We start from the raw sequence: 12,770 nt of genomic DNA, 5'->3' as shown, positions 1-12,770 counted from the left end.
TACAGGGAAGATTTAAGAAAATTAATTTTGATTTAGGCCATTGATTATCTAACTGGTTGCTGTTTTTAAAATCAAATAATTTTTAAAAATGTAGGCTATTGAGCAACTTTTTACAAATTGCAAAAAATTGCTATCATACAGATCACATTCTCTGACTACATTGCAATTAAGTTAGAAATCAATCATGAAGCTGGGTGCGGTGGCTCATGCCTGTAATCCCAGCAGTTTGGGAGGCTGAGGCAGGAGGATCACCTGAGGTCAGGAGTTCAAGACCAGCCTGGCCAACACGGTGAAACCCTGTCTCTACTAAAAATACAAAAATTAGCCAGGCACAGTGGCCGATGCCTGTAAACCCAGCTACTTGGGAGACTGAGGCAGGAGAACTGCTTGAACTGGGGAAACGGAGGTTGCAGTAAGCCGAGATCGTGCCAATGCATTCCAGCATGGGCAACAGAGCGAGGCTCCATCAAAAAAAAAAAAAAGAGAGAGAGAGAGAACGAAAGAGAGAGAAAGAAAGAGGGAGAGAGGGAAGAAGGAAGGAAGGAAGGGAGGAAGGAAGGAAGGAAGGAAGGGAAAGAAAGGATTATTTTTAAAACTCCGTGTACTTGGAAATTACGTCTGTAATCCCAGCACTTTGAGAGACTTAGGCATGTGGATCACTTGAGCCTAGGAGTTTGAGACCACTCTGGGCAACATGGCAAAACTCCACCTCTACCCAAAATACGAAAATTAGCTGGGTGTGGTGGCACACACCTGTGGTCCCAGCTACTCGGGAGGCAGTTGTGGGAGGATCGCTTGAGTCTTGGGGGCGGAGGTTAAACAATGGCTAAAATCCAAAACACTGCCAACACCAAATTCTGCTAAGGATGTGGAGCAACAGGAACTCTCATTCATTGCTGTTGGGAATGCAAAATGGTATAGCCACTTCTGAAGACAGTTTGGCAGTTTCCTATAAAGGTAAAGATAGTCTCAGCATGCAATCCAGCAGCCACACCCTTGGGTATTTACCAAAATGAGTTGAAAACTTAGGACCACACATAAACTTGCACATGAATGTTGACAGCAGGTTTATTTATAAGCTGGAAACAACCAAGATGTCTTTCAGTAGGTGAAAGAATAACCAAACTGGTACATCCTTACAATGGAATATTATTCAGAACTAAAAAGAAAGAAGTTATCAAGCTGCAAAAAATAACATGGAGAAACCTTAAATGTATATTGCTAAGTGAAAGAGGTCAGTCTGCCATGGCTACATACCGTATGGTTCCAACAGTATGACATTTTGGAAAAGGCAAAGCTGTAGAGATAGTAAAAAGATCAATGGTTGCCAGGGATTCCAGGGGAGGAGGAAAGGCGGAATAGCTGGAGCAAGGGGATTTTTAGGCCAGTGAAACTATTCTGTGTGATACAGTAATGGTGGATACATGACATTAGGCATTTGTCAAAACGTGTGGAACTGTGCAACATGATGAGTGAACTCTAATGTAAACTATAAACTTTGGCTAATAAGGTATCAATATAATTTTGTAGCAAATGTACAATACCCGTGCAAGATGTCAATAATAGATGAAACTGCAACTGCATGTGGTGAGGGGAGGTATGTGGGAGCTCTCTGCACATTCTGTTCAAATTTTCTGTAAACCTAAAACTGCTCTAGAAATAAAGTCAATTAATTTTTTTTAAAAAAGGTTATTGTGTGAACTATCTAAAATACTTTATTCATTTGTTTATTCATTCCAAGGACAACTTAATGTCAAGCACTGGGCTAGGGATTCATGGGACATCATGTGCAGAAAATTCACGAGGAACTGTGGCCGGAAGTGCTGGTTGCCCACCTAGTATGCATTCTCCCTTTCCACTTAGGGGGCATTAAACAATTGCATTTACAAAATACAATTTTCTGTCTTCATTAGGAGTAGGTGTGGCCATGTGACTAAGTTCTGGCTAATTAGTTATAAGCAAAAGTTTTTGCATGGGACTTTTGGTAATGTTTCTAAAAAGGTGACAGGCTGGGCGCGGTGGCTTATTCCTGTAATCCCAGCACTTTGAAAGTCCAAGGCGGGCGGATCACTTGAGGTCAGGAGTTCAAGACCACCAACATGGTGAAACCCCATCTCTACTAAAAATTCAAAAATTAGCTGGATGTGGTGGCACATACCTGTAATCCAAGCTACTTGGGAAGCTGGAGCATGAGAATCACTTGAACCTGGGAGGCAGAGGTTGCAGTGAGCTGAGATTGCACTACTGCACTCCAGCCTGAGTGACAGAGCGAGAGACTCTGTCTCAAAAAAAAAAAAAAAAAGAAAGAAAGAAAAGAAAAAGGGGATGAAGAGGACAGAGCTGGGTGTGATGGCCCACACCTGTAATCCCAGCACTTTGAGAGGCCAAGACAGGAGGATCACTTGAGCCCAGGAGTTCAAGACCAGGCTGGGCAACATAGGGATACCCCGTTTCTACAAAAGAGTAAAAAATTAGCTGGGCATGGTAGTTTGTGCCTGTAGTCCCAGTTACTTGGAAGGCCAAGGTGGAAGGATTGCTTGAGCCAGGGAGGGCAAGGCTGCCAGTGAGCCATGACTGGGCCACTGCACTCTAGCCTGGTAGACAGAGATTCTGTCTCATAAATAATGAGGGGAGAGACAACTCCCACAAGGCCTCTTTTGCCTTTTGTCATTGCCCTTCCCCTTCTTCCTTGCTTATACTAAGACCTGATAGCTGAATCTCCAACAGTTCTCTGCCATCACAGTGGCAATTTAAAATGAAATCCAGGTGCTTAGGAAGACGGAGTGGAGAGGTAGATGTAGCCTGGATCCCTGATGCCTTCTGTAGTTTCCATACTAACCCTGAGCAACCTACCTCTGAACTTTGAACTTTTTTTTTTTTTTGAGATGGAGTCTCATTCTGTTGCCCAGGCTGGAGTGCAGTAGCACGATATCGGCTCACTGCAACCTCTGCCTCCCAGGTTCAAGTGGTTCTCCTGCCTCACCCTCCTGAGTAGCTAGGACTACAGGTGCATGCCACTCCACCTGGCTAATTTTTTATATTTTTAGTAGAGACGGGGTTTCACCATATTGGCCAGGCTGGTCTCGAACTCCTGACCTCGTGATCCACCTGCCTCGGCCTCCCAAAGTGCTGGGATTACAGGTGTGAGGCACCACACTCAGCCTGTACTTCTTTTACATGGGAAAATAAACCTCTAATTTTCTTAAGCTACTGCAGTCAATGTTACTAGTGGTAGAATCCAATCCCTAACTGATATGGAAAACAAAAGATATTAATGATAAATGCATGCCACACCAGTCAACTAAAACCTATTTAATACAATGCCCAGCACTGAAGATACACAAAAAAGGTAGAAGATAATGATGGAGGTCAAAATTTAGAGGAATCGCTGCCTGATAGACTATTTCTGAAAAATCTTTCCTTCCATTGATTTTTTTTTTTTTAAGAAACAGGGTCTTGCTCTGTTGCCCAGGCTGGATGAAGTATAGTGGCATGATCCTAGTTCACTGCAACCTCAAACTTCTGGGCTGAAGCAATCCTCCCCGCTCAGCCTCTCAAGTAGCTGGGACTGCAGGAGTGCACCACCACACTCAACTAATTTTTTAATTTTTAGTAGAGACAAGGTCTTGCTGTGCAGCCAAGGCTAGTCTCAAACTCCTAGCCTCAAGCAATCCTCCCACCTCAGCCTTCTAAAGTGCTGGGATTACAGGTGTGAGCCAGTGTGCCTGGCCCCTTCCGATGATATTCATTTTTTTTAATCTTTTTTTGAGATGGAGTCTTGCTCTGTCACCCAGGCTGGAGTGCAGTGGCGCGATCTCGGCTCACTGCAAGCTCCGCCTCCCGGGTTCACGCCATTCTCCTGCCTCAGCCTCCCGAGTAGCTGGGACTACAGGCGCCCGCCACCACGCCCGGCTAATTTTTTGTATTTTTAGTAGAGACGGGATTTCACCACGTTAGCCAGGATGGTCTCGATCTCCTGACCTCATGATCCACCCGCTTTGGCCTCCCAAAGTGCTGGATTACAAGCATGAGCCACCGCGCCCGGCCCTTCTGATGATATTCTATCCATGCTTTCTACCCACTGATTCCTTTCCTCTATAAATTTGGGTAATATTATTAGGTACTATACAGACTATAAAATATATAGCTATTGTCTGTGCACTCAAGAAGCTCTGGAGCTACTTGGAAACACAAGAAAGAATGTTTGTTAGCAAATGAGAAGGGTTTTTGGTGGTTTAGAGAACTTTGTTTCTGCAATAAGTGGTGTGTTTGGGGCAAAATGAGGTGCCGAGCTGAATTGCTTTGTAGGGTAAAAGGATAAGGAATTAGAAAGCTCAGTGAGTCAATCAAAGATTGAGAAGGGAATCAGCAAGGCTCCAAAATTATTGCAAAGAAGATATCTACAGAGGAGAGACTTTAGGGGAGAAAGAAATGTTTAAGATGTTTGGGGAGTTGAATTTAAGTTGCTACGGGGTTTGTGAATGTTACCTAACTTCATCTTCTATCTTCCACAGGTAAGGTTCAGCAAAGTCTATGTCATTCTCTAATCCTTTTGATCCAGCGGATTCTTTGGAGGAATTTGAATACATATTGGATTTTGCATCCAGGTTTGCAAGAGGAAAATACAAAGGTGACTTCTGGGCCTGCTGGAGGTGGAGGGTAGAGGATGGACAGCTGACATCTAGTCACAGAGGAAAGAACACAGAAAGAGATCTCCAGTTAAAGCTGATAGATTGAACCACAGACAACCCACCTCCTTCTAAAATCCCTCTAGAACAATGGTTTAAAAAAAGTGCTTTAACATAAAACTTCAAAATCAAAAAGATAAGGAAAATGATGAAAACCACTCAGATAAGAAGAGAGGATATTTATGCAGAGGCTGCTGTCGTTGGGAGTCCGCCACCATACCACTATACTTTGGTGAGACTTGAAGGCAGGCAGGGAGTGGAAACACTTTATGCTGTAGTGAAAAAAGGGGAAGGCTTCGGTATGCTCTGACTGGAGATCATTGTCATGGGGAAACTGCAGGTGGGCTAACTAGAGGCTGGGCTTCTTGTGTAATGGTTTGGCTTTCTCTGGTTGGTCCTGTGTTGAAAATAGGGGCAAAATATAGGGAAGCTGACTCATTGACCAAGCCCTGCCCAGGCTGGCCAATTGCAGAGGTTGTGGGTCAGAGTTCTATTGTCATATATGGTCTGGCTACTGTCTGTTTATATAATCCGTCTCTCAGAGAACAGTAGAGGAGATCAAATTATTAACATTTTGGAAGCTGGAAAGCAGGAGGATAGTGTGAGCTGAATTAGCAGACTTGCCATCTATCAAAGGGGATAGCCAAAAGCAAGCCAGATTTGCCCCAGAGAACCACCAAAGGTTCAAGAATTGGCAGCACCAGGTACCCCCAGAAGCAGGGATAAAGTGGGGGCTGAAATTGGACAGTTGGTTCAAAGTCTATTTCAGAAGCATTAGACCACTGGATTTCTTCCCCAGCTCCCAAATGACTGCCTGGTGCAAAAGACTCAGGATTGATTCCCTGGAGAGGGTAGGTAGTTCTTTGTCTAGTTAAGGATGGGATGCCATAACAAACATGCCAATTCAGTGAAAGTACCTACTTTCAAGACTCCTGCTTAACTCCCCTAAATCAGCAGCCAATGTTAGAAGCCAAGTGTTAAAGTTTTTCAGATAATTTTGCTATAAGCCTATGGAGAAATTTCATTACCATCTCATAGCAAGGCCTATAGTATAAGAGCAGGCCTATAGTAGCATATGGGGGAAAGTCTAAAAGACTTTGAAATGGACCAAAAGATTATTGAGAAATGGAAAACTGCATTGTTTTAAGTATCCCTTTCCAACTTATCAGATTCTGTGGGGTTTATACCTTTCATTGTCTTTGAGGTATTTAACAATTCTAAAGAGATAGACTCTAACTTGTAGAAAACTAAGAGTAACATAAATAATTATCGTCTTTAGATATACAAATAAATTCTGTTCTGAGAAGTTTCTGTTGACTTCCCTTTCTCACTGTTCTATTCAGAACATTGATTTCAGGTGGGGTGTAGAGGCTCATGCCTATAATCCCAGCACTTTGGGAGGCCAAAGCAGGAGGATTGCTTGAGCCCAGCCTGAGCAACATAGCAAGATCCCATCACTACAGAAAAAACTAATTAACGGGGCATGGTGATGTGCACCTGTAGTCCCAGCTACTAGGGAGGCTGAGGTGGGAGGATTGCTTGAGCCTAGGAGTTTGAGGTTACAGTGATGTATGATGGCACCACTGCACTGCAGCCAGGGCAACAGAGCAAGACCCTGTCAGAGAGGTGGGGGGTGCAGGAGAGACAGAGAGAGAGAGAGAAAAGAGAGGAGAGAGAGAGGCTGGGTGTGGTGGCACACACCTGTAATCCCAGCACTTTGGGAGGCTGAGGGGGTGGATCACCTGAGGTCAGGAGTTCAAGACCAACCTGGCCAAGATGGTGAAACCCCTGTCTCTACTAAAAATGCAAAAATTAGCCAGACCTAGTGGCTCACACCTGTAATCCCAGACACTTGGGAGGCTGAGGCAGGATAATTGCTTGAACTTGGGAGGTGGAGGTTGCAGTGAGCCGAGGTTGCACGACTGCACTCCAGCCTGGGCGACAGAGCAAGACTGCCTCAAAAAAAAAAAAAAAAAAAAAAAGGCCGGGCATGGTGGCTCATGCCTGTAATCGCAGCACTTTGGGAGGCCGAGGCAGGCGTATCACGAGGTCAGGAGATCGAGACCATCCTGGCTAACATGGTGAAACCCTGTCTCCACTAAAAATACAAAAAATTAGCCGGGCGTCGTGGCAGGCACCTGTATTCCCAGCTACTCAGGAGGCTGAGGCAGGAGAATGGCGTGAACCCAGGAGGCAGAGCTTACAGTGAGCCGAGATTACACCACTGCACTACAGCCTGGGCGACAGAGCGAGACTCCGTCTCAAAAAAAAAAGAAAAGACTATTTGGTAAGTCACTCACTGGGCTCTTAACTGAAAAGTAAGTGGGTGGATGACTGGTTTCTTAGAAGTTTTAATCCCATTAATTTATTAGAAATTTGTGTAGGCATTTTACAAGAAATCCTAATTTCTTGCTAGAAGGAAGCTTTCAATTACATCATGCAAAAAGATTGCATCCTAGTCCAGGTTTGGAATTTTTTTCTTTTGTAGGATGATGACTCTCAAATCTCCAGTCCAAAGCTGTATCTCTAAATACTTACTATACCAGTGCTATTCAGAGTACTAGGATAAAGTGAGATAAGGACCTCACTCCAGAATGTAAATCAGCATTCTGCTTCCTTCATTGAGAAAGAGAAAATCTTCCTACAAAAATGCTAAGGGAACTAAACCTGGTGTTTAGTGACACAGTTGCTTTACATTATGTGACAAGCTTTTATCTTGTTGAGGACTGATAACAAATTGCATAAAATGTGGAATAAATGCACAGTGAAATATTACTCAGCCTCAAAAAGGAATGCAACTCTGACTCATGCTACAACATGGATAAACCTTGAAGATATTATGCTAAGTGAAATAAGCTAGGCACAAAAGGACAAATATTGTATGATTCTACTTATATGGAGTACCTAGAATAGACAAATTCATAGAGACTAAAAGTAGAATAGTGATTACCAGGGCCTGGAGGGTGGAGTTAGTGTTTAAAGGGTACAGAGTTTCAGTTTAGGATGATGAAAAAAATCTGGAGACAGTGGTGATGGTTGCACAACAAATGTGAATGTACTTAATGCCACTGAACTGTATGCTTAAAAATGGTTAAAAGGGGCTGGGCATGGTGGTTCCTGCCTGTTATCCCAGCACTTTTGGAGGCTGAGGAGGGATGATCACTTGAGCCCAGGAGTTTAAGACCAGCCTAGGCAAGATAGGGACATCCCATCTCTACAAAAAATTTAAAAAATTAGCCAGGAGTGATGGCACCTGCCTGTGGTCCCAGCTACTCAGGAGGCTGAGGTGGGAGTACTGATTGAGCCCAGGAGGCTGCAGTGAACTATGATCGTGCCACTGCACTGCAGCCTGGGTGACAGAGGGAGATCTTGTCTCAAAAAAAGTTAAAATGGACAATTTTACTTCATGTATATTTTACTACAATTTTTTTAAATTGCAGACTGGCCAGTAAAGAGGCCACATTTTGAATTGTGCTATATTAGAGTCCAGGCTCTCTAAATATATCAACTCTGTTGGGGTTGGTATATTTACAACCCCTACAAACTAGCTCTTCCCTACTCCACATACATTCTACCCCTCTCTCCACTTTTCATTTAGTTACTAAAGCTAGAAACCTGTGAAATGTCCTAGACTCTTGCTTCTCCCTCATGTCGTTGTATGTAATCTGAACAATGATTGCCTAACTGTGCTGGTTATAAAGAAATTGTTCTGGGCTGGGCACGGTGGCTCATGCCTGTAATCCCAGCACTTTGGGAGGCCAAGGCAGGTGGATCACCTGAGGTCGGGAGTTCGAGACCAGCCTGGCTAACATGGTGAAACACGGTCTCTACTATAAATACAAAAATTAGCTGGGCTCCTCCTTCAAGTGTTTGGTCCCAGTAATCTCAATCTTGACCTTTTATTTCCCCTGTCTACTTCTTACAGTCACTACTTCTTTGTTCCATTTTCCCTTTTTAATTCTCCAATACCTGTGATATCTCTAATAATTCTTTATATTAATTTTCTCAGTTAAGATTGGCCAGGGGGAAGGGGTGGCTCACACCTGGAATCCCAGTACTTTGGGAGGCCAAGGCGGGTGGATTGCTTGAGCCCAGGAGTTCGAGGCCAGCCTAGGCAACATAGCAAAACCCTGCCTCTACCAACAAAACAAAAAATTAGCCAGGTGTGGTGTTGTGCACCTGTGGTCACCGCTACTTGAGAAGCTGAGGTGGGAGGACCACTCGAGCCTGGGAGGCAGAGGTTGCAGTGAACTGTAATCATGCCACTGCACTCTAACCTGGGCAACAGTGCAAGACCCCATCTTAAAAAAAAAAGAAAAAAAGATAACTGCTATGATATGGCAGTTCCTTCCAGCATTCCACTTCTGGGTATATATTCAGAGTCAGAAGCAGGGTCTCAAAGAAGAGATGTTTGTTTTTGTCATGCCTGTGTTCATAGCAGCATTATTCAAAATAGCTAAAATGTGGAGACAACCCAAGTGTACACTGACAGATGAACTGATAAGCAAAGTGTGGTATATACCTACAGTGGAATATTATTCAGCCTTAAAAAGGAAGAAATCCTGACACATGGATGAACATTGAGGACATTATGCTAAGTGAAATAAGCCAGCTACCAAAAGACAAATACTATATGATTCTACTTATATAAGTTAGGACAGTCAAAAATCATAGAGACAGAAAGTAGGATGATGGTTGCCAGGGACTGGGGGGAGGGGAAATGAGGAGTTATGGGTTTTTTTTTTTTTCTTTTCTTTTGAGAAGGAGTTTTGCTCTGTCACCCAGGCTGGAGTGCAGTAGTACGATCTCAGCTCACTACAACCTCTGCCTCCCAGGTTCAAGTGATTCTCCTGCCTCAGCCTCCCAAGCAACTGGGATTGATTATAGGTGCCTGCCACCATGCCCGGGTAATTTTTGTATTTTTAGTAGAGATGGAGTTTCACCATATTGGCCAGGCTGGTCTCGAACTCCTGACCTTGTGATCCGCCCACCTCAGTCTCCCAAAGTGCTAGGATTACAGGTGTGAGACACCACTCCCAGCCGGAGTTACTGTTTAATGGGTACAGAGTTTCAGTTTCACAAAATGAAAAGTTCTGGAGATGGATGGTGGTGACGGTTGCACAGCACTATGAATATATTTCATACTACTTGAACTGAACACGTGAAAATGGTTAAGATGATAAATTTTATTATGTGAATTTTACCACAATGAAAATTAATACATTTTATATTGAAAAAAATAACTCCTATGGCTTCCATTTCTTCATTGAATCCTGACTAATACAGAAAATGGTTTTCCAGGAGTTGTTCCAGGGAACAGACTTTCAGATATAGGATTTATTATAGCAGTTTATTTGGTCATATCCTTAAACTCAAATGCAATGTTGAGCCACTTGTCAATGGGAAATGGAATGTAGTGGTATCACAAATAATCAACTTATCGTCTGTAATCAACTTTGTCGAAGTGCCTACTAAAGCAAGTAATTAGGAGCCACATTTGACTGTTTGACAATGATATCTACAACAACTCTAGGTTATTCATGGCTTTATTTGAATGCACCGAGGAACTTATTATAAATTAAAAGTACAGGTTATTAAGCATTCAATTCAGGCCAGGCTCAGTGTCTCGCTCCTGTAATCCCAACACTTTGGGAGGCCAAGGTGGAAGGATTGCTTGCACCTATGAGTTTGAGATCAGCCTGGGCAACATAGTGAAATATAAAATTGACTGCACGTGGTGGCCGGTTTGTACCAGACTCTTTGGTAGTCTCCATTACTTAGGAGGCTGAGGTGGGAGGATCGCTTGAGCCCAGGAGATCAAGACTGCTGTGAGCCATGATTGCACCACTGCACTCCTTCCTGGGCAACAGACAGAGTGAGACCCTGTCGCAAAAAAGCAAAACAAACAAACAAAAAAACATTCAGTTCAAGTCACAGAGTACAAAACTTCTATAGCAGCCCTAAAAGAATTCCTTATTTCCTGTACCTCCAGACTTATCTTTCTAAAAATCAAACATAAAATTTAATTGTGCAATTTTCAGAGTTACAATACAATTTGATCTCACATCCTTGCTAGATATCTCTAGTGAAAAATAGGGCACTGACTGGGAGGGGCATAACGCTGAAACTGGGAATGGGAGTATTGGGTTGACTCAAAGAAAGTCGAAGTTCTACAATGTCCAAACTCTCTAAACATCTACAAGGCCAGTAGAAGCAGTCCTTCTTCCCTTAAAGGCACTAGAATAACATCATTTGTGTCAGGCATGGTGGCTAACACCTGTAATCCCAACATTATGAGAGGCCAAGGTGGGAGGACACCTTGAGGCCAGGAGCTTGAGACCAGCCTGGGCAATATAGCGAGACCCCATCTCTAAAGAAAAAAGAAAACAAATTTAATCACTTGAAGGATGTCTACTTTCCTCTAGTTTCTTTTTCTTTCTTTCTTTCTTTCTTTTGAGAAGGAGTCTCACTCTGTCGCCCAGGCTGTAGTGCAGTGGCGCGATCTCGGCTCACTGCAACCTCTTCCTCCCAGGTTCAAGCGATTCTCCTGCCTCAGCCTCCTGAGTAGCTGGGATTACAGGTGCGCACCACCACGCCCAGCTAATTTTTGTATTTTTAGTAGAGACAGGGTTTTGCCATGTTGGCCAGCCTTGTCTCTCAAACTACTGACCTCAGGTGATTCACCCACCTTGGCCTCCCAAAGTGCTGGGATTACAGGTGTGAGCCATGGCGCCCGGCCTACTTTCCTCTAGTTTAACTCCAACCACCGATTGTTAACTGTAGATCAGGATTTCCCAACATGTTGGGCTGGATAATTCTTTGTGGGAGATGTCCCATGTGTTGTACGATATTTAGCAATATTCCTGACCTCTACGCACTAGATCCAGCAGCACCTTCCCCTCCAAGTTGTGACAACCAAAATTGTCTCCAGACATTGCCAAATGTACTGTGGGAAACAAATCATCCCCAGTTGAGAACCACAGCTCCACATCTATAGCTAGGGTTAGATCCCGGCATGTTCCACAGTGTGGCTGGGAAGAAATAACTTATTCTTTCAATATTTTGCTAATTTTTATCTGCAGATATGTGAAGAACATGTGAAAGGGAGGATTCTTCCTTTCCAAGAAGGAAACAGACTAAGAAGACAGAATGTAACACTGGATTTGGTTGAATTGTTAGCATGGGTGCTTTTACCACAAATTCTGGTTTTAATGTGTTAGCTTGTGCAGCTGGAAACCTCTCTAATAGTTACTTGGTTGGTTGCCTGAAACTTTATTTCAGCAGTAGGCTACTTTCAATAGTGTTGAGATGCAAGAACTTAGTGGCATTATTTAGAAGACGCAATCCCAAAGTTTAAGGAGATAGAAATGTTGGAGCGAATCTATAATATATGAATGGCCACCCTCTCACTATATCACCTAAGAGATCCCAGAGGACATGCTCTCCACTAAGGCACTGAGAAATACATTAGCAGATGGGCACCAATATCCTTGTAAACGCTATGGTCGCTGTTTTCTATAGGTAGATATGATAAAGGAAGATGTTATAGTTGAGATGGGTTCCCTGATTTTGATGGAGGTGATGGGATCCTGGGGTGACAGAGGACAAAGACAATGTGGGTCAAGAGACAATGTATAGACTCCCTTTCAGAGTATAATATGAAAAAGAAGGGGATAAAGAGTGGCTTTACAGTGTAGAAACCTGACAAACACTACTTATCAAGGCGATAAGTCACGCTGGCAGTATGTGTAGTTGATATGATTTCATGAGAATGGCATTTCACCTCTATAGCTTTCCTCCCAAAAGCACATAACCCCAGTCTAACAATGAAATAAATCTCAATCAAAACTCAATTGAGGTCAGATATGGCTCACACCTGTAATCCCAAAGCGGGTAGATCACCTGAGGTCAGGAGTTTGAGACCAGCCTGGCCAACATGGTGAAACCCCATCTCTACTAAAAAAAGACAAAATTAGCCAGGTGTGGTGGCACATGCCTGTAATCCCAGCTACTTGGGAAGCTGAGACAGGAGAATTGCTTGAACCTGAGAGGCAGAGGTTGCAGTCAGCCAAGATTGCACCA

The 12,770-nt window shown here is 43.4% G+C and overlaps 1 long non-coding RNA gene across 2 annotated transcripts in view; it reads left to right on the top strand.

Moving 5' to 3' along the window:
• GALNT16-AS1 (GALNT16 and EXD2 antisense RNA 1) overlaps positions 1 to 5,994 on the top strand; it is a 77,510-nt gene extending 71,516 nt beyond the window's left edge. For both annotated transcript variants that reach the window (NR_184249.1, NR_184252.1), the window contains exon 4: positions 4,515 to 5,994. This is a non-coding gene — a long non-coding RNA (GALNT16 and EXD2 antisense RNA 1). The remainder of the gene's footprint in view (positions 1 to 4,514) is intronic.
• Positions 5,995 to 12,770: the final 6,776 nt, after the last annotated feature.

Source organism: Homo sapiens, chromosome 14 (genome assembly GCF_000001405.40).
Source record: "Homo sapiens chromosome 14, GRCh38.p14 Primary Assembly".
Taxonomy (NCBI): Eukaryota; Metazoa; Chordata; class Mammalia; order Primates; family Hominidae; genus Homo; species Homo sapiens.
This window is presented reverse-complemented; position numbering and strand designations above follow the sequence as displayed.